Raw genomic sequence first — 18,451 nt, 5'->3', positions numbered from 1 at the left:
CCTGCAGATTTCACGTGCTGAAACTTAATTGCCACCGTGATGATACTAGGAGGTGAGGCCTTTAGGGGTGATTAAGTCAGGAGGGCTCTGCCCTGGTGGGTGGGATTCGTGTTTTGTAAAGGAAGCTTCACGCAGGGTTTACCCCTTCGCTCTTTTGCTTTCACCACGTGAGGACACAGCGTCCCAGCCACCGTCCTGGAAGCAGAGATTGGGCCCTCTCCAGACACTCAACCTGTGAGAAGGAGGTTTCTATTATTACAGCTTACCCAGGTGGTGGTGTTTTGTTACAGCAGCAGGAACAGGCTAAGACAAGAGAAATAGCTCGAAAAACCACCCTCAACAGAGCACAGTCTTGAATTTGTTTCCTAATTGCTCTGGGTCTAATGGTCTATGGGCCTGAGCCTGGCCAAGCTCCATGGCTCCCCAGAGTACTTGGAGCCAGTGCCGGGGCCTGGTGGAGAGAGGGCTCCGTTGTGATCTGGGATTGTGTCTGTAAAGCTCCAGCCACCACTTCGTTCCCCATCTCAGATCCTGGTAACGTGACCTTCAGGGTTTTCAAAGCAGGGACAAAACTTGTGATGATGCATCTTTGTTCTTTTTTGTTTGTTTGTTTTTGAGACAGGCTCTCACTCTGTAACCCAGGCTAGAGTGCAGTGGCATGAACACGGCTCACTGCAACCTCCACCTCCTGGGCTCATGTGATCCTCCCACCTCAGCCTCCTAAGTAGCTGGAACCATAGGCGAGCACCACCACACCTGGCTAACTTTTTGTATTTTGGGGAGAGACGGGGTTTCACCATATCGGCCAGGCTGGTCTCGAACTCCTGAGCTCAAGTAATCTGCCTGCCTCTACCTCCCAAACACTGGGATTACAGGCGTGAGCCACCATGCCCAGCAGATGATGCACCTTTGACCAAAAAGCACTTCTGGGTAGAAGTCTGAGTGAGTCAGAGTTATGGAGTTAATTTTAATTCATCCACAGTAGTCAGGTAGCTGGAAAATTACCTGGGCTCTGTGGCCAGAGGGCTGAACTCCAGCCTAGGTGATAGATAGATGTCTGTTCCAGCTTTTCACATGTCTTTTTTCCATTAATAGAAGCAGTGGGAAGTCAACCAGACATTCAGCCTAGTTCTGGGGCTCAGGGATTCCTTTACTTGGGATGGTCTAGATTCTGGAAGGCCATTTTTAAATTTAATATTACAGAAAATACAGCCCCTGGTGGCCTTTCCACCAAATTGGAATATGAGTCCATCCTCTGTAGCTTTTAATCCAGGCACTCCTTTGATCTCTGCTCAGTTTGTTCCATAGGGTTGCTCAAAGGTTATCTATGTTAAAAATGTGTAGAGGCAAGTAACTATTCTTTAATCTGACCAGTGTTCAAGACTCAGACTGGCTGAATTTTGACCCCAGCTCTGCCATTTGCTGACTGTGTGACCTTGGGCAAGTTACTCAACCTCTCTGTGCCCTGTTTTCTCATCTTAAAATGGGAGTAATCCTACTTCATAGGTTATGATGAGGATTGAATGAGATAATACAGACAAAGGGTTAGAACAGTGCCTGACACGCATCGAGCCCCCAGTGAATGAAGCCGTGCTTGGGATTACTGTTGCCATGTTCAGTGTTACGCAGGACGCCTTGGCAGTTCTGGCCTCCACAGTAGCCGCCTTAGAAGTCACTGGAATGACCCATGGCTTAGATAAGACTTTCATCACCAGCACCTGCAGCACGCTTAGCCTTTAGCTTCCAGAACAAACACCGGTATTGCTTAGGGTACCCAGCAGCGGCGCAGATGCCCTGGCCGTCCACTTAGAGCCCTTTCCATCTGCTGACGGGACTCTTCTCAGCTTCTTCTGACATTCTTGGTTACACAACAGAGTACGCAGCTGAGGTTACCAGGTGCGCCTTAACATACGGGTCTTCAGAATCACTGGACGAGGGGTAGAAGCACCAGGAGGGGAGATTAGGTGGTACTTTGTTCTGCTTAATTCCAAGTTCTTGGTTCAGATCCAACTTTTCTTTATGTTTCCACCATTTACCTTCAACTAAGAATGTAATCCAACAGAAACATCCTTATTTTTGGTTCCTCATTCATTTGCTCATCCATTCAGCAAACATGTGCGTGCTGATTATCTCTACTAAGTAATGCAATAATGCATTGTGTTTATACAGCTGAAAGATCTATCCTGGTGATTTTGTTTTTAAACTAAGAACTGTCTGCTCTAAAGGGGAATTGAAGTGTTTATCTGCAGAGACAGACAGCTTCGTGCAACTCTGGGGCAGTTGATTCTGTGTTATCTTCATCATACTTGGCCTTTGTAAATAAAAGAAACCCAGGTGCCGTGGAGGAAGAGAGAGGCAGACACAGCGAGGCTGCAGTGTTAGGTATTGTTTATCACTCCAACCCAGATGCTTGAGAGTGAAGGGGGAGCAGCTAATCATTACACCCAGACAGAAGGCACAAGCTGGGACCGTCCCAAGCACAGAGGGCATATGGTCGCCCTGTACATAAAAGACAAAGGGTTTATGTTCCTAACATACAAATAGGCCCTGGAAGTTAGAAATAGCAACAATTAAGAATAAACAACCATGTAGAAAAATAGATCAGCAACCAGCACCCTCATCAATCAGCAGCCATCAACATAGAGACAAGATCCTTCATGAGCAAAGGAATTACTACTCGCTGACATCTCAGGTGATTGCTAGCCTTTTTTAGCAATAAAGTATTTTTAAATTAAAAAAATGAAAAATAGATCAGAAAATTAATCAGAAAAAGACAAATGGCTAATAAACAAATGACTAGTGATCAGAGAAATGCAAGATAAAAATCAGAAAACATTTTTACCTGTAGACTGGCAAAAAGTTAAAAGCTGCTCAGTATTGGCAAGGTTTATTAGTTCATTTTCACATTGCTATAAAGAAGTTTCCAAGACTGAGTAATTCATAAAGGAATGAGATTTAATTGACTCACAGTTCCACATGGCTGGGGAAGCCTCAGGAACTTACAATCATGGTGAAAGTGGAAGCAGGCACTTCTTACATGGCAGCAGGCAAGACAGAGAGAGAAAGAGAGAGAGAGACAGCAGGAAAAACTACCATTTGTAAAACCATCAAATCTCTTGAGAATTCACTCACTACCACAAAAACAGCATGAAGGAAAGTGCCCCCATAGTCCAACCCCACTTCCCTCCCTTGATTACAATTCAAGATAAGATTTGGGTGGGGACACAGAGCCCAGCCATATCACAAGGGTTCAAGGCTGTGTAATGGGGAAGTAAATAGGAACAAAATATTTGAAGGGAAATTTCACAGCATCTGTTAAAACTGAGTTATGCAAATGATGTAAGTTCAGAAATTTCCCTTCTAGAGCTCTAGCAGTAGAGATAATGAGTCAAGTTCCACAAGGATCTATGGACAAGTATCTATGCCTTGGCAATGCTGATTAGAGTGAACAACTGGAATCAACTTAAATGCTCTCAGAAGGAGATGTTTAAATAGTTTAAAATCCATTCCATAAAATTGCATGCTGCTAATAAGAGGAAAGAGATTGTCACACAAAGAATGACATAGGTAGTTTGCATCCGACAAACCATGCCTCTTCTGAGTCTCTCAGCCTTTCTGTCCCTAGAAACATTGGCCATTTGCTCACCGTGGAGACCTTCCTGACTGCATGCCCGGAGCCTCAGGTTCCTCTCGCCCTTTCTGGACACTCCCCAGTTGGAGGACATGGGAGCTGCTTCCTGTAGGAGTTGCCAAAGTGTCCAAGCAACACAGCTCAGAGACCAGGCGACATGACTCATGACTCCTGCAGCTCCAGCTGCATCTGATGGGAGGTAGGAGTGAGCAGCCAAAAAGATCTCTCTCGCCCTGCTTCCAATGGGCCGTTCTCAGGCATGGTTTTTCCATATGAACTGTGTGGAGATGCCCCTCTGGCTGAGCGCCTGGTCTGTATCTCTGTGGCTCGTAACGAAGCAGTGCTCAGCCTGCAGCGGTCTCAGCCTGCATGGTCTTCCCTGGCTTCCCTGCCTTGATGCCCTGTCCTCACCATGCTGCTCTGGGATGGCACCTTCCAAGGAAGTGTTAGCACTTAAGCCTTGCCTTGGGCTCTCTTTTCCTTTTTTTTTTTTTTTTTTTTTTTTTTTTGAGATGGAGTCTCGCTCTGTTGCCCAGGCTGGAGTTGTAGTAGCACGATCTTGGCTCACTGCAACCTCCGCCTCCCAGGTTCAAGCAATTCTCCTGCCTCAGCCTCCTGAGTAGCTGGGATTACAGGTGCCCACCACCATGCCCAGCTAATTTTTTGTATTTTTAGTAGAGACAGGGTTTCACCATGTTGGCCAGGCTGGTCTCAAACTCCTGACCTCAGGTGAGCCACCTACCTTTGCCTCCCAAAGTGCTGGGATTACAGGCGTGAGCCACCACGCCTGGCCTTGGGCTCTCTTTTCTAAGTAACATGGACTTAGCCACTTTCTCAAGGAGATTTCTAGTTCAACCATCCTACTTAAAATCACAGCCCACCTTCCCATCTGCCCTCCTAATTCTTCTCACTCTGCTGTACTTTTTCTTTTATGTCCACAGTACCTATCAGGTCCTAATTTACTATACCATTTACTTACTTATTAGCCTGGTGTTTACTGTCTGTTTCCCCCTGCTAGAAAAGAAGCTTCAACAAGGCAGGGACAGGCTAGGTGCAGTGGCTCACACCTGTAATCCCAGCACTTTGGGAGGCCAAGGCAGGTGGATCGCTTGAGCCCAGGAGTTAAAGACCAGCCTTGGCAACATGACAAAACCTTGTCTCCACAAAAAATATCCAAAAATTAGCCAAGCATGGTGGTGTGTGCCTGTGGTCCCAGCTACTTGGGAGGCTGATGTGGGAGTATCACCAGAGTCCAGGGAAGTCAAGGCTGCAGTGAACCGTGATTACACCACTGCACTCCAGCCTGAACCATAGAGTGAGACCCCATCTCAACTCACCAATATATCCCAAGTGCCTAGAACAGTTCCTGGAATGTAGTAGGCACTTATTGAACTCTCACTGAATACATGGATGGATGAATCTGTATGTTTGACTCATGATGATATATTGTTGAGTAAAAATCATCATTTTCAACATCCTATGATCATGGATCAGAGGACTTAATTAAGTCCTTAAGTTAGGATGTCAATACTACCCAAAGCAATCTACAGATTCAACATAATCGCTGTCAAAATCTCAATGACATTTTTTGCAGAAATTGAAAAAGTCATCCTAAGATTTATAGGGAAGTTCAAGGGACCCCACATAGCCAAACAAAATTGAAAAAGAACAAAGTTAGAGGACTTACACTTCCTGATTTCAAAATATATTAAAAAACTATATTATTGTAATCCCAGCACTTTGGGAGGCCAAGCTGGGCAGATCACCTGAAGTCAGGAGTTCGAGACCAGCCTGGCCAACATGGTGAAACCCCGTCTCTACTGAAAATACAAAATTAGTTGGGCATGCTGGTGCATGCCTGTAATCCCAGCTTCTTGGGAGACTGAGGCAGGAGAATTGCTTGAATCAGGGAGGCAGAGGTTCCAATGAGCCAAGATCATGCCACTGCACTCTGCCTGGGTGAGAGAGTGAGACTTCATCTCGAAAAAAACAAAGCTATAGTAAGAAAAACAGTATAGTACCAACATAAAGAGAGACATATAGACAAATGGGATAGAAGAGAAAGCCCAGAAAACTCTCGTGTATATGGTCAAAATGATGATCTTTGATCTTTCACAAGGATGTCAAGACCATTTAATAAGAAAAGGACAGTTTGTCCAACAAATGGTGCTAGAAAAACTGGATATTCACAAGCAAAAGGATAAATTTGGATCCTAACTTTATACCACATACAAAAATGAAGTCAAAATGGGTTAAAGACCTAATCATAAGACCCAAAACTAAAAAAGCCTTGGAAGAAAACATAGGAGAAAAACTTTGTGACACTGGACTTGGCAGTGATTTCTTGGATATTACACCAAAAGCACAGGCAAAAAAGCAAAAATAGACAAATAAGACCACATCAAACTTAAGAAACTTTTATGTATCAAAGGATACAATCAACAAAGTGAAAAAACAACCTATGAATGGGAGAAAATATTTGTGAATCATATATCTGATAAAGGGTTAAGATCCAAATATATAAAGAACTCCTTCAATTCAACAATAAAAAATTAAGTAACCTGATTTAAAAAATGGGTAAAGGACTTGAATAGACATTTCTACAAAGATGATATAAAATGATCAACAAGACTATGAAAAAAGGCTCAGCATCACTAATGATCAGAGGACTGCAAATCAAAACCATAATGAGATACCACTTCACGCCCATTAGGATGGTTACTGTCAAAAAAAAACCCCCAAAAGACAACAAGTGTTGGTGAGGGTGTGCAGAAGTTGGAACCCTTGTATGCTCTTGGTGGGAATGAAAAGTGGTGCAACCAGTATAAAACAGTATGACAGCTTCTCAAAAAATTAAAAATAGAACTACCATATGATTCCGCAATCCCACTTGTGGGTATATATCCAAAAGAATTGGAAGCAGGGTCTCAAAAAGATATTTGCATACCCATGTTCATAGCAGCATTATTCACAAAAGCCCAGAAGTAGAAGCAAATCAAATGTCTGTTGGTGGGTGACTGGTTAAATACAATGTGGTGTATACATACAATGGAACACTATGCAGCCTTACAAAGGAAGAAATTCTGACATGCTACAACCTGGATGAACCTTGAGGATGTTATGTTATGTGAAATAAGCCAGTCACAGAAGGACAGATACAGTATGATTATATAGGATATCTAGATGAGTCAAATTCATAGATAGAGAAAACAGAATGATGGTTACCAGGGAATAGTGGAAGGTGGCAAAGAGGAGTTGTTATTTAATGAGTATACACTTTCAGATTTGTAAGACAAAAAAGTTCTGAAGATATGTTTCCCAGTACTCTAAATATACTTAAAAATACTGGACTATACACTTGAAAATTGTTAAGATAGTAAAGTTTATGACAGGTATATTTTACTACAATAAAAACAGCACAGGCTTTCTTTCAATAAAAACAGCACAGGCTTTCTTTCTTTCTTTTTGAGACAGTCTCGCTCTGTCACCAGGCTGGAGTGCAGTGGCGCGATCTTGGCTCACTGCAACATCTGCCTCCTGGGTTCAAAAGATTCTCCTGCCTCAGCCTCCTGAGTAGCCGGGACTACAGGTGCATGCCACCATGCCCAGCTAATTTTTGTATTTTTAGCAGAAGATGGGGTTTCACCATGTTGGCCAGGATGGTCTCGATCTCTTGCCCTCATGATCTGCCCACCTCAGCCTCCCAAAGTGCTGGGATTGCAGGCATGAGCCACTGCACCCAGCCAAATTATTTTTACCATTATAGTGCATCCATTATTCTGATTTTTTGTGTGTGTGTATTGATGAAGACCTGGAAGAATACACACCACATTGTAAATAGTATTTACCCCGGCGGAGAAGAGAATTCCAGTTTTCACTTTATCCATTTTGATATTATTTGACGTTTCCAGAAGAAAAGTATATTACTATTGCAGTTTTAAAAACTATAAACATAAGTTTAACTATTTGAACAGTTTAAATAGGTAAAGAGTTAGATGATACCTGGCTACCTAACTAAAGACAAATGCATGCCTGGGAGTGCTGAAGCTCAGTACATTTTTCCATCTTAAGAAGAATTGTTATTTTTCACTTCTAGCACCCTGAGCCCTTAGGCTTCAGGGTTATAATTCTAGAAATCGGAATTAGGGTTCTGTAAATGTGAGCTGTAAAATTCTCCTGATGCGCCTTTCTGTGGATTGACATAGACACGAAGCAAAGCAGGGCAGAGCGAATAATAAGAATAAAGAGATGATGATGATGATGGTGGAAATCCTGATAGTGATGATTATGATGGTGGTGATTATGATGATATGATGATGTGATTATGATTGATGATGGTGATAGTGATGGTGATGGTGATGATGACGATGATGGTGATAATAATGATAATGGTGGTGATAGTGATAGTGATGACAATGATTATGATGGTAATAGTGATGGTTATGATGATGGTGGTGATGATGATGATAGTGATGTTGATGATGACAGTGATGGCATTGATGATGATGGTGATGATGAAAGTGATGGTGATGATGATGGCGGTGCTGATAGTTATGATGGTGGTGATGATCATGATGGTGATGATGGTGATGATAATGATGATGATGATGATGGTGATGGTGATAGTGATGATGAGATGGTGATGATAGTGATGGTGATGGTGATGATGATTATAATGATGATGATCATCCTGATAATAGTGATGATGGTGGATGATATGATGGTGATGATGGTGATAGTGATGGTGATGATGATGATGATAGTGATGTGATGATAGTGAAGGTGATGGTGATGATGATGGTGACAATGATGGTGATAATGATGGTGATGATAGTGATGGTGATGATGATAGTGATGACAATGGTCATAGCTAACATTTATTGAGCTTACACTCTTGTCAGGTAATCACAGCCCCATGAGGAAGGTACTATTATTATTCCCATCTTACAGAAAACAAAAATGGGATACTGAGAGGTCATGAGCCCAAGCTCATGTAGCTATGAAGGGATGGAGCCCTGGACTTGAGCCTGGTCTCAGGAAGGATGTCCCAGCTCTCTCTTTCCTTGTCTCCACTGTAGGACTTGACCTGAGGCTTGCAGAGGCACTGAGGAGGCCTCCTCAGCTGAGAGAGGGAAGGAGTTAGCCAGGTAAATAAAGCAGAGCACTCTGGGACTAGGATACCTTCAGGCAGAGGGAGCAGGCCTCATGGTCCTGTGCCAAGGGTCTAGTCATAGCACCCCAAAGCTCTGGGGAGACACCCTCAGAACCCTGGAGGGCAGTTCGATGTACCTGCCTTCCAGTAGCCACAGGACTTCAGTTATCAGGAAGGTCTAGGGAGACAGGTAAGGCTCCACTGCAGAAGGGCACCCACCTGCAGGGACAGGCACCAGGACCAGTGCACTGCAGGGTCTAATTATGTGAACTGGACACACGGGGCTCACAGTGAGAGCACAACAGGGTTAGGTCTCCCTCATTAAAAGATCACAACTGGGTGCCCTAGTGCAGGGGATGGAAGACAATGGGGAGTGCAAGGCACAGTGGCTGGAGGCAGGCAGGGCAAGGGCACTGGAGCTTCTGGGCTGTGAAGTGGTGGTGGGGAAGGAGTGGATGTGGACAAGTCCGAAGACACTCTGGTCTCTGATGTGACTGCGTTCCAAATAACAGGGGGCATTCCAGCCACAGAGTCCACAGTGGGAGTGCCCTTTGGGCCCCCTGGGAAGGAAAGCTGCTGGGCCATGGCCCACAGGGGAGGGCCGGCTGCCAACCTTGCTTGAGTCTGAGTGTGGTGCCCCCAAGGCCCACGTGCCTCTGCTTTCGGTTCTTTCTATTTTGTTTGTTTCCTTGAGTCGGTTGCGTAGGGGCTGGCTGCTGAAAGGAGGTGGACTGATCTGCTCAGCAGGGGAATTTGACACTGGGTGTTGAAATTCTGCTGTTTAGTGCTGATTTTCATCTGAGCCAAGTATGTTTACACAGGACTAGCAAACTTTCCCCTGCTTGCTAAGGAGAGCCCTTCAGCAACTGTCTTCCATGGCCCTGGTTCTCCGTGTCCTGGTGTCCTCACCCTGGGTGGAAATAAGTGCTTCCACATGAGGACATTTTCCAAATAACAGAATCTTTTGCTTCAAGTAGTAGACTCTTAGATTTTAACCATTTTTAATGGAACTATTTCTGAAATCCTTTGCGTCTTTCTCCTGCCTTACATAGAACACCCTGATGACGAGCGTACCCTGAGGCCATCAGGAGCCTCTGCCTCCCATGCTCTGCCCCCTGCCCTTGCTCAGGCCTCAGCAGGCTTCACCTACACCCACTGCAGCTGCGCATTCATGCCATGGATGGGGCGTCTCTCCCCACCTCCCTCGTTGCCCGCACAGTTGTTGAGGGAAGTTCTGGGTGCAGAGCCGCCTCTTTTGAGGCTCCTCCAGACAATTATCTCAGAACCTATAATTGTGTCCACACTCCTTGGGAAGCAGGGGCGTTGCAGCTGCCCTTTCTTCCTTCCTGTTTGAAGCTGGACACCCAAGCGGGCTTGATGCCTCCTCAGGATGCATGGTCTTCAAGCTGGGACTGAGGTCGTGGTGCATTCTTAGTCCCCTGGGGCTGCCCCAAGAAAGTACCGCAGACCACCTGGCTTAAACACCAGACATTTGTTGTCACACAGCTCTGGGAACCAGAGGTCTGAGCTGGAGGTATGGGCTGTGCTTGCTTCCTTCAAAGGCGCAGGGAAGAGTGTGTCCCAGCCTCTCCCCATCTGTGGCAACGGCAGGCATTCCCAGACTTGCAGCTGCACCTCTCGATCCTCTGTCTTCATGTGGTATTCCTTCTGTGTCTCTTCATGTCGTCTGCCTCTGTGCGTGCCTGTCCAAGTTTTCCCCTTTTATAAGGACCCTAATTTCTTCATCTTAAATTGCTTAATTTTGCAAAGATCCTATCTCCAAATAGCATCACATTCTTTGACATTGGAGGTTAGGACTTGGACATATCTTCTTGTGGGGGAGGACACAATTTAACCCATAACACAGAGTGAAGAACATGAGATCCCAGAGCAATATGACCCAGGATGGACAAACTCCCAGCCTGTGGATTCAACACAGGAGGCACGCTGACACTGACGGGACGCTTCTCCCAGCTCCACTTTCTTCCTACTGCCCAGAGAGCCAAGGGGACACTAAATTCAGGTGCTAGGTAGGCTAGCACCTGAATTTGGTGGGTGGTTATAGGCTATTTTAACTTAAAAATTGGTTTAATAATGCTCAGCACCTGAACGTTTAACAGCCAACCTCCCTCTCTCTCCCCCTCTCTTCCTTTTGTTTTTATTCTTTCATTTCTTCATTCATAAATTTCTTTTGAATATCTAGTATGGAGAAAACCTGGGGTTACTAAGATGAAACAGTGTCCCTAAAGCATTTTATTTTTCATTATTATTACTTTTTATTATACTTTAAGTTCTGTGTTACATGTGCAGAACGTGCAGGTTTGTTACATAGGTATACACATGCCATGGTGGTTTGCTGCATCCATCAACCCGTCACCTACATTGGGTATTTCTCCTAATGTTATCACTCCCCCAGCTCTCTGGCCCCCGACAGGCCCCAGTGTGTGATGTTCCCCTCCCTGTGTCCATGTGTTCTCATTGTTCAACTCCCAATTATGAGTGAGAACATGCAGTGTTTGGTTTTCTGATCTTGTGATAATTTGCTGAGAATGATGGTTTCCAGCTTCATCCATGTCCCTGCAAAGGACATGAACTCATCCTTTTTTATGGTTGTATAGTATTCCATGGTATATATGTGCCACATTTTCTTAATCCAGTCTATCATTGATGGACATTTGGATTGGTTCCAAGTCTTTGCTATTGTGAACAGTGCCACAATAAACATACATGTGCATGTGTCTTTATAGTAGAATGATTTATAATCCTTTGGGTATATGCCCAGTAATGGGATTGCCGGGTCAAATGGTATTTCTGGTTCTAGGCCCTTGAGGAATCGCCACACTGTCTTCCACAATGGTTGAACTAGTTTACACTCCCACCAACAGTGTGAAAGCGTTCCTATTTCTCCACATCCTCTCCAGCATCTGTTGTTTCCTGACTTTTTAATGATCACCATTCTAACTGGCATGAGATGATATCTCATTGTGGTTTTGATTTGCATTTCTCTGATGACCAGTGATGATGAGCATTTTTTCATACGTCTGTTGGCTGCATAAATGTCTTCTTTTGAGAAGTGTCTGTTCATATCCTTTGCCCATTTTTTGATGGGGTAGTTTGTTTTTTTCTTGTAAATTTGTTTAAGTTTTTTGTAGATTCTGGATGTTAGCCCTTTGTCAGATGGGTAGATTGCAGAAATTTTCTCCCATTCTATAGGTTGCCTGTTCACCCTGATGATAGTTTCTTTTGCTGTGCAGAAGCTCTTTAGTTTAATTAGATTCATTTGTCAATTTTGGCTTTTGTTTCCATTGCTTTTGGTGTTTTAGACATGGAGTCTTTGTCCATGCCTATGTCCTGAATGGTATTGCCCAGGTTTTCTTCTAGGATTTTGATGGTCCTAGGTCTTACGTTTAAGTCTTTGATCCATCTTGAGTTGATTCCCCAAAGCATTTTAAGTCTCCAGAAGTGTAACCAGGATCTCCAGTGAACAGGTAGATTTCTGACAGCTCCTATTTGGGCAGGAACCTGCTTTGCACACTGCTGGGCTCCCAGAGCACAGCATGATTCCTGGCACACAGTAAGTGTTCAAGAACATTTCCCCCACAGTTTCAAAATGAACAATCAAATAATTGCAAATACCTGTATGTGGAGCTTAGGAAATGCAACAATTTCATTCAGGAGAAACCTTAGGAAAGGGCTTTTCCATGTGCCCAGCCTAATAAAAGGACTCACGATTTATTTCCAGTCCTGGCAAGATTAATACGGTGCAAACTCTCCCTCCTGGTGGATGCGTTAAACTCTGAAACGGTCTTCCACATAATTTGCTGGCATGCTGACCTTTCTTCAGGCAGCTCCTACAGCTGGCTGGATGTTTGAGGAAGACATGAAGAGCAGTGTGTGATGAGGCAAAGGCAGGAAGCCCCAGAGCCGGCCCAGCAAGCCGGGCTTGTGGAGGGGGATTGATTACACGCAGGCTCGCACACCACTCCTGGGCTGGCAAGGACAGGGAACAGGCGGTAGGAAGTGGCTTTTTAGGAGCAAGGTTGGTGCAGGTCCGTGGACACTGCTACCCTCCTGACCCTGGGATCTTTCTCTCGCAGTCATCTGCTCACATGCACCCTGCCCTAGCTGGGTGTTTGCAACTAACGTGATTGATGCAGAATGAGGAGAAAAGGGGAGGCCAAATGTCCACATTAGCCTGGGTCAGCAGGCCCCTGGGCACTAAAGAAAATAGGGATGGGTTTGAAAGCAGTTGATGGCAAATGAGACCTAATTTGAAGGGCAGGGACAGATATCACATACCGAAGCAAGCAGCCTTCCTCCTTGAAAAGATGGAATTTCTGAGGAATCAGTGTGTACCCGGGAAGGGCAGGCTGGCAGGTGGGAATGGGCGAAGGCTCTGAGGGATTCAAGGACTCTGTACTGGTGCTGCCCGTGGGGTGCTTCCTCCTGGGCCTGTGGGTGTCACACTGGCCACCCACAAGCAGATGCCGGGCACCAGTGCAGTGGGGCGGGAGGGTGTGGACGGTTCAGCACACTTCCAACCCCATTCCTGGGAAAAAGAATCCCTAATCCTGTAACAGCTCGTATTGGTGTTAAAACAAATCCTGCCACTGAAACTCATCCACTCTACTTGGAGGAGTCCTCCCTGGATCTTGACCCAGATTTTCATTGTATGATTGATTCTAACAGCTTTATTTATCTCATTCCCCACAGATTGGAGATCACAAATCAGAAGGGGACTCAAGGGCTGTTGGCAACAGGATGGGACTGGGGACAGCCCATGTGCCTGCCTCTGTCATGATAGGCACCCAGAAATATTTCCTGGATGGCCAGTGACCAAGTGGGGGATGTCATCTCTTCACACGCTTCCAGCACACACGTGTGATGAAGCAGGATCCAGGCTGTGGCGAGGCACCAGGATAGGACAAGCAAGGAGGCGGCTCCTCTCTGCCGGGAATCTGGCCTGCGGGAGGAAAGCAGCCTGACAGTGCCCACTCTGGTGGCCACTGTGACAAGGGCTCTGCAGCCCGGAGGAACTCTGGGAGGTTTGATGTGAAGAGGAGAGCCAGGGATGACCCTTTGGTGAGGTCTGAGGGATGAACTGGAAGACACCTATGATTTTAAATGAAAAACTTGCCTGAGAGAAGACACAGAAAAAAATACGAAGAGCTAGGTTCTGATGAGGAAATTACTTCTGTGGACCCAGCGCTTTTGACTTCATCTTCCTTCTGTTCCTGAACTTGGGAACGTGGAGAACAATGAGGAAAAAAGGGTGTCAAAGCACTCAGAAAAATTAAGTGTCGAATACGTGGAAATAGTAATAAAAAAACCACTTTTCATGTTATGTGACCATTTGTCTTGAAGACTACAAACGTAGACTGGCACTACCATACCTAACGCACGATCTCAGCCGTTTATTCTTCCCTGAGAAAACTGGGGCAAGAAGAGAAAGTAACATTTATTGAGAGCTTATCTTGTGCCAGGCACTATTAGGTGTTTTTATAAATGCTCAGGGAAGCCATTCTTCAGGTATGAATCTTACCAAGATGTATAAAGTCTGCAGGGCACTATGTTTGGGTATTAGGACTTGGATCTATTTCATGCACCTTTTTCTTTGCATATTTTGACTACATTTAGGGATCAATATGCAATCCCTCCTGTGACTAATTTATTGCTTACAAGCTCACCTCAGTCCAAGAGTAAATAAAATGGTGGATTAGTGAGGACTAGGTCAGCTTATTGCATAATATACATTAAGGCTAAATTTTAGTATCTTTATTAATATTTTACAGCATTAACACTTTTCAAAGAGAATATCCCTAGAAGGGTATGCTAAAGTTACATTATTACAAAGAGATGATCTGAAACTCTGAGAAAGTGAACATTCTTAGTAAAAGGTCTGTTTTAACAGGTAAAGTAGAAAAGGCAAGTTTAGATTTATAATTGCTCCCTTCTCTCGTTTCTTTTTACCACCAGGATAAAGGAAATGTCTATAATTCAAGGATAGGGAGAGTGCCAGGTCACCAAATGATTATATCTAATTCATTTAAACCAATCTGCCGGAAATCTTGCTTAGGTTAAGATCACAGGTGGCTTTTAAAACTAGCCAAACAAACATCTTTGAATCTATCTTGAGTTCCTATTTACTCAGCCTTGCTCATTCAGTTGAAAAGACGTGAACAAGGAAATCTTCTGTAAATTACACACCTTACCCTTAATGAAATGGTTTCATTCCATCACTTGCTCAATAGATCAGAAAAATTCCAGGAAACGTTTAACCTCCAAAACTTATTCTAAAGCATGAATAGGCCAGACGCCGTGGCTCACGTCTGCAATCCCAGCAGTTTGGGAGGTCGAGGCGGGCAGATCACTTGAGGTCAGGAGTTCGAGACCAGCCTGGCCAGCATGGTGAAACTCCATCTCTACTAAAAATACAAAAAAATTACCCAGGTGTGGTGGTGAATGCCTGTATTCCCAGCTACCTGGGAGGCTGAGGCAGGAGAATGGCTTGAACCCAGGAGGCGGAGGTTGCAGTGAGCCAAGATCGCACCACTGCACTCCAGCCTGGGCAACAGAGCAAGACTCTGTCTCAAAAAACGAATAAACATGAACTTAGACTAGTTCAGCAGGCATTCCTATACTTGATCCACATAAATTGGGTTAATCTCAGGCAAACCTCAAGTCTCTGTAATGAGGGAAATGTTTTTATCATGAGATCTACCAGTTTTTCCATACATGGATGTTTCATGTTTTAAATGTAGTAGAAACCTATTGGTTTGGATCTGTGTTATAAAATGGATTGGTACATATAAGGTAAGGCCTTTCTCTGCTAGTACTGACATGCGATTTCACAACTACAAGTAATGTGAAGCCTGCCTAGCATTAATGTTCCTGGTGCTCAACGCATCTCTTCAGTTCTCATCCCATCGTGATAACCTGTGAGTGCAAGTAACTCCAGCCACGCCGGCTGGCAGCAGGGAAGCTGCCCCTGTGACAGGCCAGGCATGCCCGCTCCTCCTGCCTGAAAACCGGGTGCCTGTGGTGAGGAGGGGTAAGGTGGCAGGTTCAATTCAGCTCGTGCTGCACTTAAAACTTTCTACCATAAGAAAAACACATACTGTTGACCCTTAAACAACACAGGGTTTGAACCTGTGGGTCCACTTATATACATGGAGCTTTTCCAACCAAACATGGTTTATTTGCTGAATGTGAAACCCACGTATACGGAGGGCTGACTTTTAGTGTACGCAGGTTCCGTAGGGCCAAGTGCCAGACTTGAGTATGCAGATTTTCGCATACGTGGGGTATCCTGGAACCAATGTCCTGTGTATATTGAAGGATGATTCAAATACTTCCCAAGAGGTTGTGTCAAAATTCAGTAAAATTTGAAGAACTGCAAAATATTTCTCCATTACAAATTCTAACATCCTACACAGAGACCACCACCCCAACTGTTTTTTAAAAAGCAAACATAAATACAACACTTGGTTTTGAACCTTTAATAAAAGTAAAAAATGAATGCAAAAAGAACACAATGTTGAAAACTTAGTATGAATGTGAACCTCACTAGATGTTCAAATCTGGTAGAGTGCAAATTTTGTTCATACTATTTTACATTTTTACAAACTCAAATCACTTTGGTTCATATATTTTCTATAAACTATTGGCAAAAAAATCCTCAAATTTACATTCTTTTGGCTACATTATTTCTAACAGATATAGATTTACTTCCGGTTTCGGAGAGAAAGACTTATTGTGTGTGCGTGATCAAGTCTGTTTTAAAGATTCACTCGCTGCTTTCATCTAATAACTTCTGGTTTTTCATAAAATGCTGACATCTTCATTGGAAATTTTTTTCATGTAACTGTTTTCATTTTCAGAAAATATATAAGGGGGTCATTCCAAAGTTCAGAATGATCCTATTTTTTTAAAAAACAAAATTCCTGTAAAACAAATTAACTCCAGGAACTTAAAATTTACTCCAAGACATTTCCCTCAAAACAAAGCAAAAAACCCCAGCAAAGATCGTTACATCACAAAACCAAACACAAAGACCAGCGCTCACAGGCAAGTTCCTCTAAGCTTCCATTCTGCTGACTGGTGGCTTCCATTTAAAAGGAGTCTTTTAATCAAGCCACTTTCACAGAATTTAAAACAAACCAAACACATGTAAATTGCAAAATACAAAAAGGTAAATTTATAAGTAAAAATGACCAAACCCACAAAACTGGAGTATTTCGAAGGTTGAGGGTTCAGTGGAGGGTGTAACACGAAAGGAACTTCACAACTGAAAGAAATCATTGCCGAGTTTCCTCCAGGCAGCACTGAAATGAATGGAGAACCTTCTCTCGAACATCTCACACGTTAAAAAAAATAAATATTTAAGAGATACAAGGCTCAGATTGGTTTTCATATACATTGCACTTGAAGTTTAAGACCCAATACTTGCAAATTAGGTCTGGTATGGTCTATGCCATTAAATGAATACATTGTGCTCACCAATATCATTGACTAGAAACACCACACGTTTAATGCAGTGCCATATGCACTCTCCTTTTTACAAGGCAATCACAGATTGCAAATTCCATAGGGCTGTGGCAAAAAACAGTCATCTCTATTCTGTAGTAACAAACAAACAATTTTGGCTCACTAAGATTGAAATACATGGCAGACAGGTATTCATTCTTAGATGACTATGGATTTCGAAATAAACTTCATAAACTGAGGTGAAAATTCCAATATATCGCAGTGTGGGAACCAAGACTTTTCATTGCCTTTTGCTCAGTAAGATTGTCTACACAAACTGCCACGGGAGGAATGACAAGCAGTTGACCCACTGGTGATACACACACGTGTGACCATGTAAACACGCCACTGCAGGACGGACGAGCGTGACCGTGAAGCGTGGCCACGCCGCGACCCCACTTAGAGTGTGACCTCTCTATAATCACTGCTGCTTTTCTTGTTTTGTTTTTTTTTTTAAACACAGCCCTATTTTTAAAAATCTTTTGGATAAATATTATTCCTATTACACCATACTTCATGTTTGTTAAGCACCATCAACCTACCTCCTTTGGGCACTGACACAAAACTGCGGGTTGGTAATTGAGTCTTAGTTCAAGGCTTTGAAATATGGCAACTTGTTTTAATCACATGAATGAAATCGAATACTTGGGAAGCTGCCACCTGCCTGAACCCACGTAGCCTGGGCAGAATGCTCCAGGGCACAGACAGGCGCCAGTGCGGGCAGTCAAGGGAAGACTTCAGGGTAAGTCATCATTCTCCACCTCCCTATTCTAGACTAGGTGAAGAGTTTTTTCCAGGAGTCATTTGTACAGTCAGCCCGATCTAAATAGATTACTTAAGAAAAAAGATAATCTTTGTCATAATCCACAGTCAGATTTTCTTCCAAAATCTTCCTTGCTCTCAGAATCGGTGGTTTTGAAGACTCAATCACTATGGGGCTTTTCAGGAACACCCTATGTGTAGAAAGGAAAAAAAAAAGGAAAGAGAAAATTAGCACTAAATGTATAAATATTTTAATTACCAATTAAGTAGGTCCTAACATGGGAAAGATTGACACTTTCTTTGACTGAAGCAACAAGATTGAGAGGTGGGACATGTGCAGAGAACTGGAGACCGAGGCCAGCTCTCCCAGCTCCCCTGCA

At 43.8% G+C, this 18,451-nt stretch overlaps 1 protein-coding gene and 1 long non-coding RNA gene across 10 annotated transcripts in view; one reads left to right on the top strand and one right to left on the bottom strand.

Moving 5' to 3' along the window:
- Positions 1-16,310, top strand: part of LOC105375592 (uncharacterized) — a 27,269-nt gene extending 10,959 nt beyond the window's left edge. The window contains exons 1-2 of one of the 2 annotated variants that reach the window (XR_007060611.1): positions 3,501-3,830; positions 13,497-16,310. This is a non-coding gene — a long non-coding RNA (uncharacterized LOC105375592). Of the gene's footprint in view, positions 1-3,500; positions 3,831-13,496 lie in introns of those variants that run through there. The other variant, XR_007060612.1, reaches the window with a different exon arrangement.
- The window catches only part of INSIG1 (insulin induced gene 1), a 12,358-nt gene continuing 10,174 nt past the window's right edge, over positions 16,268-18,451 (bottom strand). For all 8 annotated transcript variants that reach the window (NM_001346591.2, NM_001346592.2, NM_001346593.2 and 5 more), the window contains one exon: positions 16,268-18,262. In NM_001346591.2, coding sequence (NP_001333520.1) covers positions 18,145-18,262 — 118 coding nt within the window. In that variant the 3' untranslated portion in view covers positions 16,268-18,144. The remainder of the gene's footprint in view (positions 18,263-18,451) is intronic.

The sequence above is a fragment of the Homo sapiens genome, chromosome 7, assembly GCF_000001405.40.
Source record: "Homo sapiens chromosome 7, GRCh38.p14 Primary Assembly".
NCBI lineage: Eukaryota > Metazoa > Chordata > Mammalia > Primates > Hominidae > Homo > Homo sapiens.
The sequence above is the reverse complement of the archived record's forward strand: the minus strand, read 5'-3'. Positions and strand labels throughout refer to the sequence as shown.